Below are 14,215 nucleotides of genomic sequence, written 5' to 3'. Positions count from 1 at the left end.
GCTTCATGAATATATGCTTGAGGATAAATGAAGGATGGATGTGGGTTATGTTGTTGTTAGGCGGTTTGTAGGAGGTAGGGCTCTGTAAAAGGCATTTCCTGCCTGTGAGATTTGTTTCTGCCTATGGGAGGTTGATGAATTTCAGAGTAAATTGGAAAGGCAGAGGCCAGTTAAGACTTTGGTGAATTATATAAGTGAAGAAAAATCAGCATTTAATATCTAAATGAAAATATGTGACTGCTTTAAAAACAAACAGAGCATTTAAATTAGTAACCTAATTACTTTATAGGAGATGAAAATATATGGATGAAACCCAGGAATCCTCCTCTTTATTAACCCTGGTGTGTTACTAAAAAATTATGAGTTGTTCTAATTGCTGGAAAAACTGTTGATTTGTTCCATTTGATTATCTTATTGTTTCACCTTTCGTAGTATGGGAATATTGGGTTAAGAAAGAGGGACCAGGGCCAGGTGTAATCCCAGCACTTTGGGAGGCCGAGGCGGGTGGATCACCTGAGGTCAGGAGTTTGAGACCAGCCTGACCAGCGTGGTGAAACTGGCACAATCTTGGCTCACTGCAACCTCTGCCTCCCAGGCTCAAGTGAATCTCATGCCTCAGCCTCTGAGTAGCTGGGATTACAGGCTCACACCACCATGCCTGGCTAATTTTGTATTTTCAGTAGATAAGGGGTTTCACCATGTTGGCCAGGCTGGTCTCGAACTCCTGACCTCAGGTGATCCACCTGCCTCAGCCTCCCAAAAATGCTGGGATTACAGGCGTGAGCCACCATGCTTGGCCCAGGATATTTTTATATGTCTAAGAAAAGATGCTTTTTTTTTGTTTCTGGAAATGATAATGACATTTGTCTCCTTAAATATTTCTCTATACTTTAAATAACGAAAGAGAAAGGCTTATCACATGTAGCAGTAACATTTATTAATAGCTTCATTAGGTATGGCCATAGTAGATGTTAACTTTTTGAATATAAAAGGAATGAATTTATTTTAGTGATCTAAGATTTTTGTAATTCCAACATTCTGAGAATTAATTTTATGAAGTATCCTAAAATTTAAAAATGATTATTCAAAAATTTTTAGGTGAGAATATAAAATATGTGTACTGGGTTGACAGAAGTGAAAATGTTTGTGGTCTTAAGTAGACTCATTAATAATTCATAAACCTAGTAGGAATTTTCCTCTTAATCTTTACCTAACAAAAGATGGAGTTAGTCATCTGTGTGCTTCAGACATGAAAAAAATTCCTCTGGGACTCAGTGTGGGATGAGAGTATCTTGGCCTTTGAGGTTGGGGAAGTGTCATTTCTTGCTGTCTCTGCTTGGGTACTCTGTTAGCCCCTGGCTGTTTGTTGTATCCTTAGAGTTTATATGTTTTTTCTGTGATTAGAGGAGCTCAGTGCAAATGGGTTTGTTTAGCTGCAGATGTAGTTGGGCAGATACTGATTTCAACACTTTTTAAAGGTCTTGTGAGGAGAAGAAAGTAAAATTTTAGGTCAAATAGTTGCCAACTTCATATTTACCTGTAACTGTTAAACTGCCACTTATATACATGTGACATTTGATACTTGTAAAATACATTTTTATTATATTTTCTACTATTGAATATATTTTATTTTTCAGAGTGGGACAATTTTTAGTTTTAGTTGCCTTTTTTTGTTTTGTTTTTGTTTTTGTTTTTGTTTTTGTTTTTGTTATGTTACCCAGGCTGGTGTTGAACTCCTGGGCTCAAGCTTGGACTATGGGAGTTGCTGTATTCTTTTAATTGAAGTAAGGGAATTGTTCACTTTAATGTTGTGTGATTTAAAGGAAATACATTTATAAACTACCTTTTCCTAAATAACTTGCATACTAAAGTCTGGCACATTTTTCTTGGTGTTGGGGCAACGGTGGTGAAGAAGACAAAGTCCTTGTGGTCAAGGAGTTTTTCCCTTGTAATGGGTAGTAATAGGCAATATTCATTTAAGCAAATACATGAGATAATTTCAGATTGTGGCAAGTATAGTGAAGGAACCAAAATAGGTAATATGCTGGAAGGAGACTGGGATTGGGAAGGAGATTGGCAGAGTTGGAAAGCTACTTTAATAGCAAAGTTAACAAAGGAAGGTGTCTTTAGCATTTGCCAAGAGGGACCACTTGGGGAATGATCTAGGAAATGCAGGGAAAGCAAGCACAAAGGTTTGAACACTAGAATGATTGGAAAGGAGGCTAATGTGACTGGTGTGTAGTGACTAGGGGAAATGATAGTCACTAGGTTGAGTATATTGGCTGGGTCACATTATGTGGGGCCTTAGAGATGAAGAGTGTGGTTTTCTAATAGTTACTGGAGGAAGTCATCAGGGGAGAAGCATGAACTGGTATGCTTTTGAAAGACCTCTCTAGTCTCTGAGTGTAGAACAGATTACAGAAGGGTGGAGAACAGGCAGAAAAATCATTTAGGATCTATTGCTGTGTCCAGGGAAGAGGTTGATGGCTACGAGGACCAGAGTGGTAGGTCTGGAAGTTCTGAGAAGAAGATGGATTTGTGATAGATATGTAATAGTGAAGGGAGAAAATGTGCTGGTTCTTTGCCTTTACTGAAATCCTGTGGCTTCTGATAGTTGTGGCAGCTTTGAATTTCACTGTATTGTGGCAAAGGAGAGAATTGGTCTTAAGGCACATGGATGAGTTAATTTAAAATGTAGACTTCATACCAATCAGATTTTTGTCTTATTAAATCTGGCAGTAGATATTTGATTTGTTTTAAATGTGACATTTTGTTGTTGCAGGAAATGTTTTCATATTTGTCCAACCAAATAAAGAAGTTGTCAGAAGCCTACAATGAAAGACTGTTGCATACACCTCACAATCCCATATCTTTAGGTAATTTCTTTTTTCCTAAAGAAAAACAAATACTTATGATCCACTCTAGGAGGAAGCTGATACTTCTAGAAGGAGAGAAAACTCTTTCTAGTTATAATGATATTTATAAATTCATCACAGTATTTTAATTTGTAAATTGAAAAAGTTTAGTTAGGCTTTTGAAATGCTCTAATGTATTTCTAAGATAAAGCCTATACACTGAGAGAATAAGAATCAATATTAAGTATTATAACAAAAATGCAGAAAATAATACTTAAAGTCCTGTTTCTAACCATAACTCTATTTATAAATAATTAAATCTTTCTCCAGGTCGGGTTTGGTGGCCCACGCCTGTAATCCTAGCACTTTGGGAGGCTGAGGCAGGAGGTCACTTAAGCTCAGGAGCTCAAAACCAGCCTGGACAACATAGTGAAACCTTGTCTCTATTATTTAAACTAAACAAATAAACAAAACTTTCTCCAGTTAACAAAACCCCAACATATCAGAAATTAAATCTTTTCTTATGTTGTTTTTAATGTCATTATTGCTTGTTTTCTTTAGCCTACGGATGTTAGAGAAATTTGTATTTATGATATTTTCATTTGTATATATAAGGACTGTGTTTTTATCATGTAATGTAGGGGCTACTAAAAACAATAATGTGAATGTTGACTTTTATGAACTTAATTATCTTTTAAGCTTCATAATTACCCCCTTTTAAATTGTGAATATATGTAATATAATGTTTCATATTTCACATATATCTGAAGAAAGTAAGGAAGGTGAATCATTTGTAGCTGAAGCCTTTTTTAGGAATGGGCTTCTGTGGAATACCATTTGAACACCAATATATAATAAAAACCACCCCAATTAGTCCTTTGCTGATTTATGATCTATGTAGATGTTATAGAAGGTGATATTGTGTAGCTTGAATTCCGAATCTTCCATGTCCTAGCCTCTGACCTCCTTTTCCCTCACATGCAAAATTGTTAAATGATTGGTTGAGATTGTGAAGCATCTAGCATGGCGAGTCCTTAGTAAATGGTAGCTACGAGTGGTGCTATGTATGCAATCCAGTTTACCCACACAGCCTCAGAATGATCATTTCCATTTCTATATGCAGAATTTGATCTTACTTAGTTTTATATATGTACTGAAATATGTCCCACATCCTCACTTTACAAGTTTTTAAAACTTGGTTGAATTTGAATAAACAGCCACACTGATCATGTTATTGTTCCATCTATTTAGTTGGAAAAATTTACTCTCCTGAAGGCTGATATTGGAAATTCTGTTTCGTATTTGGAGATGTTAATTTACATTAAAATATTTTTGTCTGATATATAAACAAATCCCTAAGATTTATTAAGTACATTAAAGTGAAATTGTGCCACTTGACAATGAATAAAAAGTAATGCCTTCATCATTATTATTGTTATTATTTGAGTGATTTTTATGCCAGTAAACCAAGGCTTATTAGGATACTTTTTTCTTTTTCAGCTATGACACTTAAAACACTAGATGAACACCGTGACAAAGCTGTCACTCAGCTTGGCTCGATGCTTTTTACCAGACAGGTTTCTGGAGCCAGGTAAGTATGTTTAAGATAGATATGGGTTTATTTGTCTTTTCAAACTTAACTCCAGTAAAATACCTTTCCTCAACAATAGTCCCCCAAGTATATCCTGAACTATACCTGCGAATTCATCATGGAGTAAAGAATGATGAGTTAGAGAATCTGTAAGGCTACTGTATGCCCACCTGTGGACTGCTTATGCCTGAAATAGTCACAAAAAGACATGAATCTTGTTTGTTTTCATAGATGTACAGAACCAAAGTTTTATTACCTCTCTACATAGATTTTTTTCTTTATTTCCTTTGTTAGATGATCTTCAGCAAGTCACATTATGGTATTAGAGATAAGCCATCTTCATCACTAAATTGAAGTGAAAGTGTTCTTAAGGAAAAGCCTTCTTCCTAAACTAAAAAAAAAGAGTATGCAATCCTTGCCTATGTAACTGCCTCAGAAAATTTTACTTTTTCCTCTTCTATATACATGGCCTGAAAAATGAATCTGATTTTTCATTTTAGATTTGATGAGGTCAGAGAAAAATGACTTGAAAAGAAATATCTTGCTGTAAATACTTTACATGCTTCTATTAAATAATTTTTCTGTAGCTACCGGAGGATAGAGATTTTATATCACAGGACAACTTTTTAAAAGTAAAATCTTAGATTAATTTACTTTTTACCTTGATGAACTCATCTATATACAATATAGTTTTGACACTTCTAAAATGGTTTTCTTGACATTGCTTTTAGTATTGCCACTATTTGTCTGTGTGTTTAGGTTGAGCCTAATTGACTTCTTTGAAAAAAACAAAAAGCTAAGCGATTAAACTATTAGAAATCTGCTTATATCTAATATGCCAGTGAAATCAAGCTTTAAAAATGCAGGTGCCTTTGCTAAATATTACTGTTTGCTGACTACCACCCCACTATAAACAGTTACATAACTTCTTCTGTATCTGTGCTTTAAAACTATCCATTGTATAGCACTGATCAGATAGTTAGACTTTTAGTTTGTTGATTATTTGAGGTAACACATGACAATTACAGTGGTTTGACTTGCAAATTTCAATATTTCAGTAAAGTGTGTATATATGAAGTCATATTCCAGATTTGGCACAAAACCAAATCATTTTCTTTTTACCTCTTTAAAGAAGATGTAGAGGTGTTTAAGATTCCTAGAGCTTCAGGTAAAGAGAAAAAGATACTGGCAAAAATAAAATCAAAAGAGATTCCTAGAGCTTATAGGTCTTTAATAGAAGTTAAGTAAACGATAATCACGAGGCAGGACTTTTTTATGTAAAAAAGCAGTGTATTATAGAATTTCATTTTAAAGTCGATACAGTCTATTTTTGTAGGCCATGATTTGTGGCTGTTTTAAACTTCGTAATAAGTGGATGTAAGGCTTTGTAACACATATCTTTTGTTTATGGGTGACATTGTGTTACCATTACCAGACATATTAAATTGGTAAATCTTTCTTCTTTCAGGGTTGTGCCTCTTGGGTCCATGCAAACTGTGAGTGGCTATACTTTCAGAGGCTTTATGTCACATACAAATAATTACCCTTGTGCTTACCTCAATGCTGCATCAGCCATCGGAATGAAGATGCAGGATGTGGACCTGTTCATAAAGAGACTTGACAGGTGTTTAAAGGCAGTAAGAAAAGAACGAAGTAAAGAGAGTGATGACAATTATGACAAAACTGAAGATGTGGATATTGAAGAAATGGCTTTAAAACTAGATAATGTACTTCTTGACACATACCAGGATGCTTCTTCATGACATGCGAAGGGTTTCTTCTTGATCATTTGAAAGAAATGATAAGGCTGTAGTACAAGCAAGCAGTTTAAAGATAAGACTTGAGATTTTTGAATTGAGAATTTCATGGGAATATTCAGTCAAGGAGCAGACTTTGGTCTGAACTAGCCATTGATGATTGTTAAGTTTCCCATTCTTAGACTGCATCAATCCTTGTGATCCTTAACAGGTTATAATATACAATTAGCATTTTTCTAATTGTTAGAATATCTGTCAATTAAGCATCATGACTCAGATAATTTTTACTAGTGTAATGACAGTAAAATTACTTCAATTCTCTTTGAAATGTAGAGTGCTTCCTCCTAACCATTCTTTACCGTTTCTGATCACACAGAATTGAGAAAGATCTCTTAGGCCACTAGTTACTAGTTGTTTGTTGAGATGTGTAAGTCACAGTGTGCCTGTAAAATGGGCATTCCCCAAGGAAGCAGAGTCAAGGTATAAACTTTCGTTTTGACTCAAAAGCAGTGGGTCTCAACTGGGGATGATTCGCTTATCTGAACAGCATCTGCAGACATTTTTGGTTGTCACAACTGGTGGGATGCTGTTAACATCTAGAGGATAGAGGCCAGGGTGCTACTCAACATCCTACAATGCATGGGACAACTCCCACAACAAAGAATTATCCAGCCCAAAATGTCATTAGTGCTGAGGTTGAGAAATACTCCTCTAAAGTAGATAAACTCCTTGAGTAAAGAGAAGTTTACCATAGCAACTTTCAGTAGTACTTCAAAGAAGATAGCTGTATAAATGTCATCAAACTATACTATATAGAGAATCTTAAGTGATAACCAGGGTCACGGATTCCAAACATGTCATTATAAATTGTTTTATATGGTGCTCACTGGTGCATTTTTCCTTTTGGATAAGGGAAAACATTATTCCACTTACTGTTTTTGCTTTAAGCAGCCTGCATATATTGGTTAGTTTGTTCAGATGTTGTGCACAGACATCATCAAAATTAGCTAACATGGGTATTTTTGAACATATTTTTGCCAGGAAGATGAAAATCACATAGTATGATAAACAGGTGTATTCCCCTCTACTTGCCCATGTGCTCATTTTTCTGAGTCTGAAATTCCAGACTTACTGGCTTTAACAATAATTTTTGTTGTTAATTTAAGAAATAGACTTACTTAAGACTATTTTAAGAAATAGAGATGTCATAGCCTGAAGATTTACTGAAGCTTCTGAACATGCCACCATGCCAAAGCTATGTTTCTCAAACCCAGCTCTGTGGATCATGTTCCTAAAAGATGCTCATGGGGAGAAAATGTTTACAGACAAATAATTTTGGGAGCTGCCTTTGCAAACCTGCCTGTTGGCATATTGAAGGCTCTAAGAATTCCTTCACTAAATAACCCAGTTTTAATATATCCTTATCCAAAGAGAAACTCATTTTTTTAAAGTGAAATATTTGTTAACAGCCCATTGAACATACTTTTAAAAACACTATGGTAGAGAATGCTGTGTTGCCTTCTGGGCTGCATTTTTCTTATTGATTTGGAATTGTAACCTATGTATGAGAAAGGGATTTTCTGGTATTTTGGTGACGTTGTACATTGTCCCAGACTGTTTGTAAACATGAGGTCAGACATGTGTAAGGTAGACGCCTATGGCCACTGGCTTGACCACCTTGGAAGTCAATGACTATTTTGAGATGAAGTATTTAACTATGAATATCATGAAGGTTATTTAAAAATGTATTTATTTTATCTTTGGGGTTCAAACATTAAAAAAATTTACATAGGTGTAGTAACTCATTTCAAGGGAATAAATGCTGGATTAAAAAGTGTAAATTTTTCATGAGAATTTGGGACTAAATTGCTGAACCAATAAAGCTGAAGAGTTGCAACCTCTAGAGTCAAAAAAGGGATTGAAATGTTGTTGCAAATGTAAATGCTGGCAGTGCAGCTTGCTATACATGTAAGCCAAAATTGTTTTATAGAACAAGTGATCTATATTGTTGTGATCATCATTTAGCTTAAGAAAGGCCAGAGCTGGGAGAGTAGCAAATGTTTTCTCATCTGCAGTGTATCAGCAGTTCTTGGGCTTCAGCTGCTGAATAGATAATAATTCTAATTGAACATAAATTACATGAACTCACATGTGAATGATAGATATGTTACAATATTTCATTCCTGATGCAGAAAATCAGCTGTGGTTTTTATTATTAACCCTTTCTTTTTCAGTGGTTTTGGAATTCTAGCTCTATTCCTCCTGGCTTAAAATTTGAGGGCATAGAATTCACAAGAGTTTTTGAAGAGTTCTGTCTATTCAGGCTTTCCTTTGTCCCCACCCTAGTGTCATTTTCACTCACTCCCATTTCTACACATAAGTATTAAAAAGGATGTATTTATTATAATTCGCTAGTACTGATTGGTAAGCCTCATAATTGGCCTTTGTTATCTTTGTACTGTGACGAAGGCAGTGGATGATACATTACCAATCATTGCCGAAGATAACCTCTTCTATCTTTTTGACCCAACTACCCTTATTAAAACTATCAGGTAAAATATTGGAGTTAGGTTTTTAAAGTCATTGGGCTGTGGCAGTGTGCTTAGAAAAGAAAATGGTGGAACATAGAATATTCTTTTGGTCACTACACAATGTGTTACTTATACATGGCAGGGAAGGGAATTTTAAATCAAACTCGCAGTTTGGTTCTTAGGTCCTCTGCTGATGAATTCTCGCTCTATCAGGGAATGATATGTGACGCCAGCCTTAGGAACCTGGTGTTCAACTGTAAATCTTTCTATTTAGCTTTTTGTATTAGTTGAATGAAGTTATAGAATATGAATTATTGAATACAGTTCTGTTCAGCCAATAGGCACTTGATATACAGAATGGTAAATTTAAATATAAATTAAATTTTTCTAATATTATGATCAGCACTTCACTGTGGTTCTGTGTCTTTAACCACCTCATAATAAGAACTGTTATTGAGGACTGGGCTACAGAATGTGCTTAGACTACATCTATGGCTTCCATAGATTTTAGTAAAATTTAAACAGATAATTTGTGTTTACTGCTGATGTTACTTTAATATTGAATTAGTAGTTCATCCTGAGAGTTATATTTCACAGAGGAAAATAACCAACAGCTGAAAACAACAATAATAAAGCTCTGGTGAGTCTGACTCATACTCGGAGAAAGTTTTTGGAATACATACACATTTGGTGCATATAAGAGTTGGGTTTCCTTTTCCCACTTTCTGAGATGTACTAACCTCTGCCAGACCCTTAAATGATTTTGTTATGTTTTGCATTTTTGAGGCCAACCTTATTTTGTAACTGAAAAAAGTCCAGTTTTGCATACACAGAAATTTGGTCATTTTAGAAGTCTCACAACCTGAATAATTTGATAATAATTGAATATGCTATTAACAGCTTTTTAAGAAAAGGTTCTATTAGTCAGTTTTTTCCTTGTCTGTCATATTATGTTGGTTAATGTCTCTTATGGCCAATCTTAGTAAACAGACCTAACACTCACTGCATCCTTTTGTGCCTTACTTTTTACTTTCCTTTTGCCCTTTTGGTATGTGCGCATGTAAGATGGTAAGTTTAAGGCTAATGAATATATGTTTGTAATTTCCTACTCACTACTCTGCAGTTAAAGCTAAGGCCTTAGGCAAAATCTAGAAATGTTTATATTGTTTTGTTTTTTATCAAGTGGTGTCAACTTGAGAAATACAAAGAAAGGCTATGCTTAACTGTATAACCGTGGGGGATTTTAGCCATGAGAATATGAAGCTGATGTCAGCCTGCTAACCTGTTTTACCAAAAGGAAAAGATGTTTCCAAAAATGTTTTCGGTGTAGACTGTTTAAAGATGAAAATAAATTATATAATTTATTATATGAAATAAATTTTTGATAAGTCACTGACAGTACGTTATTTTACCTAATCATTACGATAGATAAAATCTGAAAGTACAAATAACTGAACTAAATTACTTGCCCATTTTTGATTCAGTCATCAGTATCAGCTTGTCTAGAAATCAGCAAGAAAAGTCATACCTTAATGAGAAGCATGAGTCATGGCTGGGGGCTAAATTAAAACAAAAAAAAAAGGAAAGAGACGATATTCCAGCAATCATTTTGCAAAGGATCTATTGACTGTAGAAAGTACTTAGAAGCATTTAATCTTTTCTAAAAGAAATACTATCTTTTATTTGAAAATAGGTTAATATCACTTTCTCCTTTAGATTTCACATCTAAATTGTGCTATTTGAAGTTTGCAGGTAGTGGTCTTTGATTTGGAATTTGATCTCTGCACTGGTGCTTATTAACCATGTGAGGCCACATATTCAGCCTCTTTGAATCTCAGTCTCATCAAATATAAAATAGATACAACCTTATAGGATTGAAGATTAAATGAGACAATGTATGGTAACGTGATTAACTCGGTATCTATGCATAGAGTACTTACTTTTAATAACTGCTATTATGCTCCGCAAAAAGCTATACTGTCCTAAGTTGTGCTAGATTTAAATTTAAATGTATTCAGTATTATGTAGTTTATTCAGTGGAACTTTTTTTGAGGGGGAGTTATCAATGAATTTTGTCCATTTGCCAGTGGAAATTAAAAGTATGCAGTTGATTTTAGATGACCTTTATTTTTTATTTTCAGGGTTTTTCTATTTTGGCTTTTATGGATTTTCTTTTGTTTTGCATTTTTGAGAATTTTTTTAAACCCATATTTAAAGTGCATTGACTAATTACCTGAAATTTCAGGTCACAACCCAGGAAACATATACAGAATAAGTTCACATCACAATCACTTCCACATTGATTATATTATCTGACCAAAATTTATGGTATAATAGGCAGATCTACAGGCATGCCAGTTGTTCAGTATATTTAGCCCTATTCTTACATGATTTTGTAGTAGAATAGCTGATCATAGCTCCCAAATGGATATCTTTAGCAGACTTCTTTCCTCAACCCTGCACTTGTATGCAACTGCCTAGTCAACATCTTTTGCATGTCTGATAGACATCTCAACCTCCACATGACAAAGGTGATTGATTCCTTGATCTCCCCTGAAAACCTGTGATCTGAACTTCTCTTCAGTTGATTAGGCCAGAAACCTTGGAGTTATCCTCTACTTTTCTCTCTCACATCCTACGCCAAATCCATCAAGAGATCATGCTATATCTATGTACTAATTTATCCAGAATCAAGCCATTTCCCACCTGCTCTGTAACCAGCCAGTTCTGAACTCCCAGTGTTTCTTGTCTGGATTATGACAGTACCCTTGATTCCCCTGGTTCTACCCATGTCCGTTTACACATGGGGCCAACTTGGTTTATGCTGTTCCCAGGGAAAAAAAAAGTAAAACCCACAACCAACCAAACTGCTTTATAGATCCATCCCCATGGAGCCCAGAGCTTCCTAGGTATGTGACGCACACACAGCCAGAGTGATCCTCTGGAAACAGGTCCTGTCGCTTGTCTGTTCAAACTCCTGCAGTAGCTCCCATGTCACTCAGAGAATAAGCCCAAGGCCTTGCTGTGTCCCAAAAGGCCCCACAGCACTGGCCATCATAACCACTCCCCCTTTATCTTTCTGACCCAACTCTTCATCCTTGCCTGCTCCATTCCAGCCAAACTGGCCATCTTGCTGTTCCTCAAACACTCCAGGCATGCTTTGCCTTAGAGCCTTGCCTCAAGCTAGTCCCTCTGCCTGGAAACATCTCTTAACCCAGATGCTTGGCTAACTCACTTCCTTCATACTTTTTACCAAAGTTCTCCCTTTTCAATGAGCTCTACCTTGACTACCCTTTTTAATACGGTAGCTATCTCCCCCTCCCCCTACCCCCGGTTAACATTGTGTAAAAATTGTCTTAAAATTGAGGGTGGGGCCTCAGTTTTAGGGTTTGTAAGAATCATCTGGAGTTGTTAAAATGCAGATTCAAATTCACTAGGTCTGGGGTGGGGCAGCATCTCTAGCAAATCCCTAGGGCGTGCCCACACTGCTGGCCCATGACCACACTGAGGAGCAGAGGTCCAACATAGTTTGTCATCTACATATTTATTATGTTGTACTGTTTGTCTCTCCCTCTCTGGCTATAGCATAAACTCCACTGAAGCAGAATCTTCGTTTTGTTCACTCGTGTATCCCAAGCACCTAAACAGCACCTGGAACATGACAGACACTCAAATATTTATTGCATGAATGATTCAATAGGTATTATTAAGTATTTATATAACTATGTTTGAAATCCCATTGTATCTGATTGAAACTACTCAGTGGTTTTCCATCTCTCCTAGAATAGAGCTCTAAAAATTTTACTTGGGTGGTAGACACAAAGAGGTTCTGTTCAGATCTTGCACGGAAAGACTACCCAGCTGCAAGGAGTGTGCTTAGCTGACAGCCTCCCTACTGTTAGCTCCTTCAAGGTTAGCTCAAGCCTGTCTTTGAGCCAAAGTCATGGCCTTTAGCCAGTTTCTGAGCAAGGCGCAGATATAAGGGCCTAGCCATTTCCACCCAGTGCGGCTCTGGAGCTCCCTGCTGGGCTAGCAGACACTTGGTTGGGTCTGCATCACAGTCCGAGGGCTCCCCCTGCCCTGGCCTGCTTCCCCTCTTTTCTTTTTTAGGTGTTACTCCCCAATAAAACTTTTGCTGTCCTAACTTTGCCTCAGTATGTACCTCCCAGAGAATCCAACCTTTGATACCCGTGGCCAACAGAATGACCTACACCCTTCTGCACACATTTCTACTCATTCTTTTCTCCCTTGCTCTAAACATGTCTACTAAACCCAGTTGCATCCACTTGGTACTACTACAGTGACACCAATCGTCAGTAAGGTTCATTAGCCTCATGAATCTTTTCTGTGTTGGCTATCGCAGATTATGCCATTGTTTTCATCTGGCATCTTTTTTTAGCTATTTTATGATTTTAAATACTAACTACTGTTTTGAGGAATGGTTCATGACTCAATGATTTAGTACACCTTTGATAAGTGGTCCATATGCCGTGAGAAGGTGAATCAGTTGTTCAGTGACCAACCTTCAGGAAGAGGTTTCTCCTGGGCACCACAGTGATCACAAAGTGAGAGGCCAGACTTCAACCCTGGCTCTGCACTTAGTGGCTGAGTGATCTTGCACAAGTTACTTTTGACTCATCAGTAAAATGGGGATAATATCTCACAGGATTGAAATAAAGATCAAATGGAAGAATCTATCATATATAAAGTACTTAGCAAAAAGTCTCGTATATAGCAAGTGGTCTGACAGTAGCTATTATTAAATGAATCTTATTTAAAATTATTAAATGGTGGTTAAAAATAAACTGGAAAAGATCCTCAATAAAATAGCACCAGAAACAGTCTTTGTAAAATGTAGTTGTATTTGTTGGCCTATCTTTATTAAATCCTATTCGTTCTGATAAAGAAAGAAAACTGAGCCTGGAACTCTCTTCAGAGCGCTTGGCTTCAGTGGCCTTTTTGGAGGTGGCCACTCGCTCCCCTTCTCTTTTCTCCTGCCTGACTTGCACTGTTGGATTCATTTCTTTGTCTTAAGGCTTTTTAAGTCCTGTTAAACGCAGATGCCTCAGGAAATAGATAACTGCTATTTATCCTTATTCGTTGGTGACATCTTACTTTGGATGTATTTATCAGATGTTTCCCTAAGAGTGGGCTTTTTGTTAAAAAAAAAAACACACTTTTTATTATAGAAACTTTCAAGCATATACCAAAAAATATGATGACGCCTAGTATCCATTAATCAGCTTTGGCACATACCAAGTCCAGTTTTGTTTCACCTACAGCACCAGCCAGTCCTCCCCTCTATCACTTTAAGCAAATCTCATCATCATTTCTGGGTGTAGCTCACATTTCAATATGGGTCACCAAAGGAAAGGAGTCATTTTTGTTTTTTAAGTCACAATACCATTATCACACCTGAAAAATTTAACAATAATGTCTTGATGTTGTAAAATATGCTGTCGGTTTCATTTCTGTAATGAC

General features: G+C 36.3%; 1 protein-coding gene across 6 annotated transcripts in view; it reads left to right on the top strand.

Annotated features, from left to right (window-relative positions):
* SEPSECS (Sep (O-phosphoserine) tRNA:Sec (selenocysteine) tRNA synthase) overlaps nt 1-10,126 on the top strand; it is a 40,569-nt gene extending 30,443 nt beyond the window's left edge. For all 6 annotated transcript variants that reach the window (XM_047415762.1, NM_016955.4, XM_011513846.3 and 3 more), the window contains 3 exons: nt 2,783-2,876; nt 4,356-4,446; nt 5,915-10,126. In XM_047415762.1, coding sequence (XP_047271718.1) covers nt 2,783-2,876; nt 4,356-4,446; nt 5,915-6,209 — 480 coding nt within the window. In that variant the 3' untranslated portion in view covers nt 6,210-10,126. The remainder of the gene's footprint in view (nt 1-2,782; nt 2,877-4,355; nt 4,447-5,914) is intronic.

The sequence above is a fragment of the Homo sapiens genome, chromosome 4, assembly GCF_000001405.40.
Source record: "Homo sapiens chromosome 4, GRCh38.p14 Primary Assembly".
Classification (NCBI taxonomy): domain Eukaryota; kingdom Metazoa; phylum Chordata; class Mammalia; order Primates; family Hominidae; genus Homo; species Homo sapiens.
Note: the sequence above shows the minus strand (reverse complement) of the source record. Positions and strands in the feature narration are given on the sequence as shown.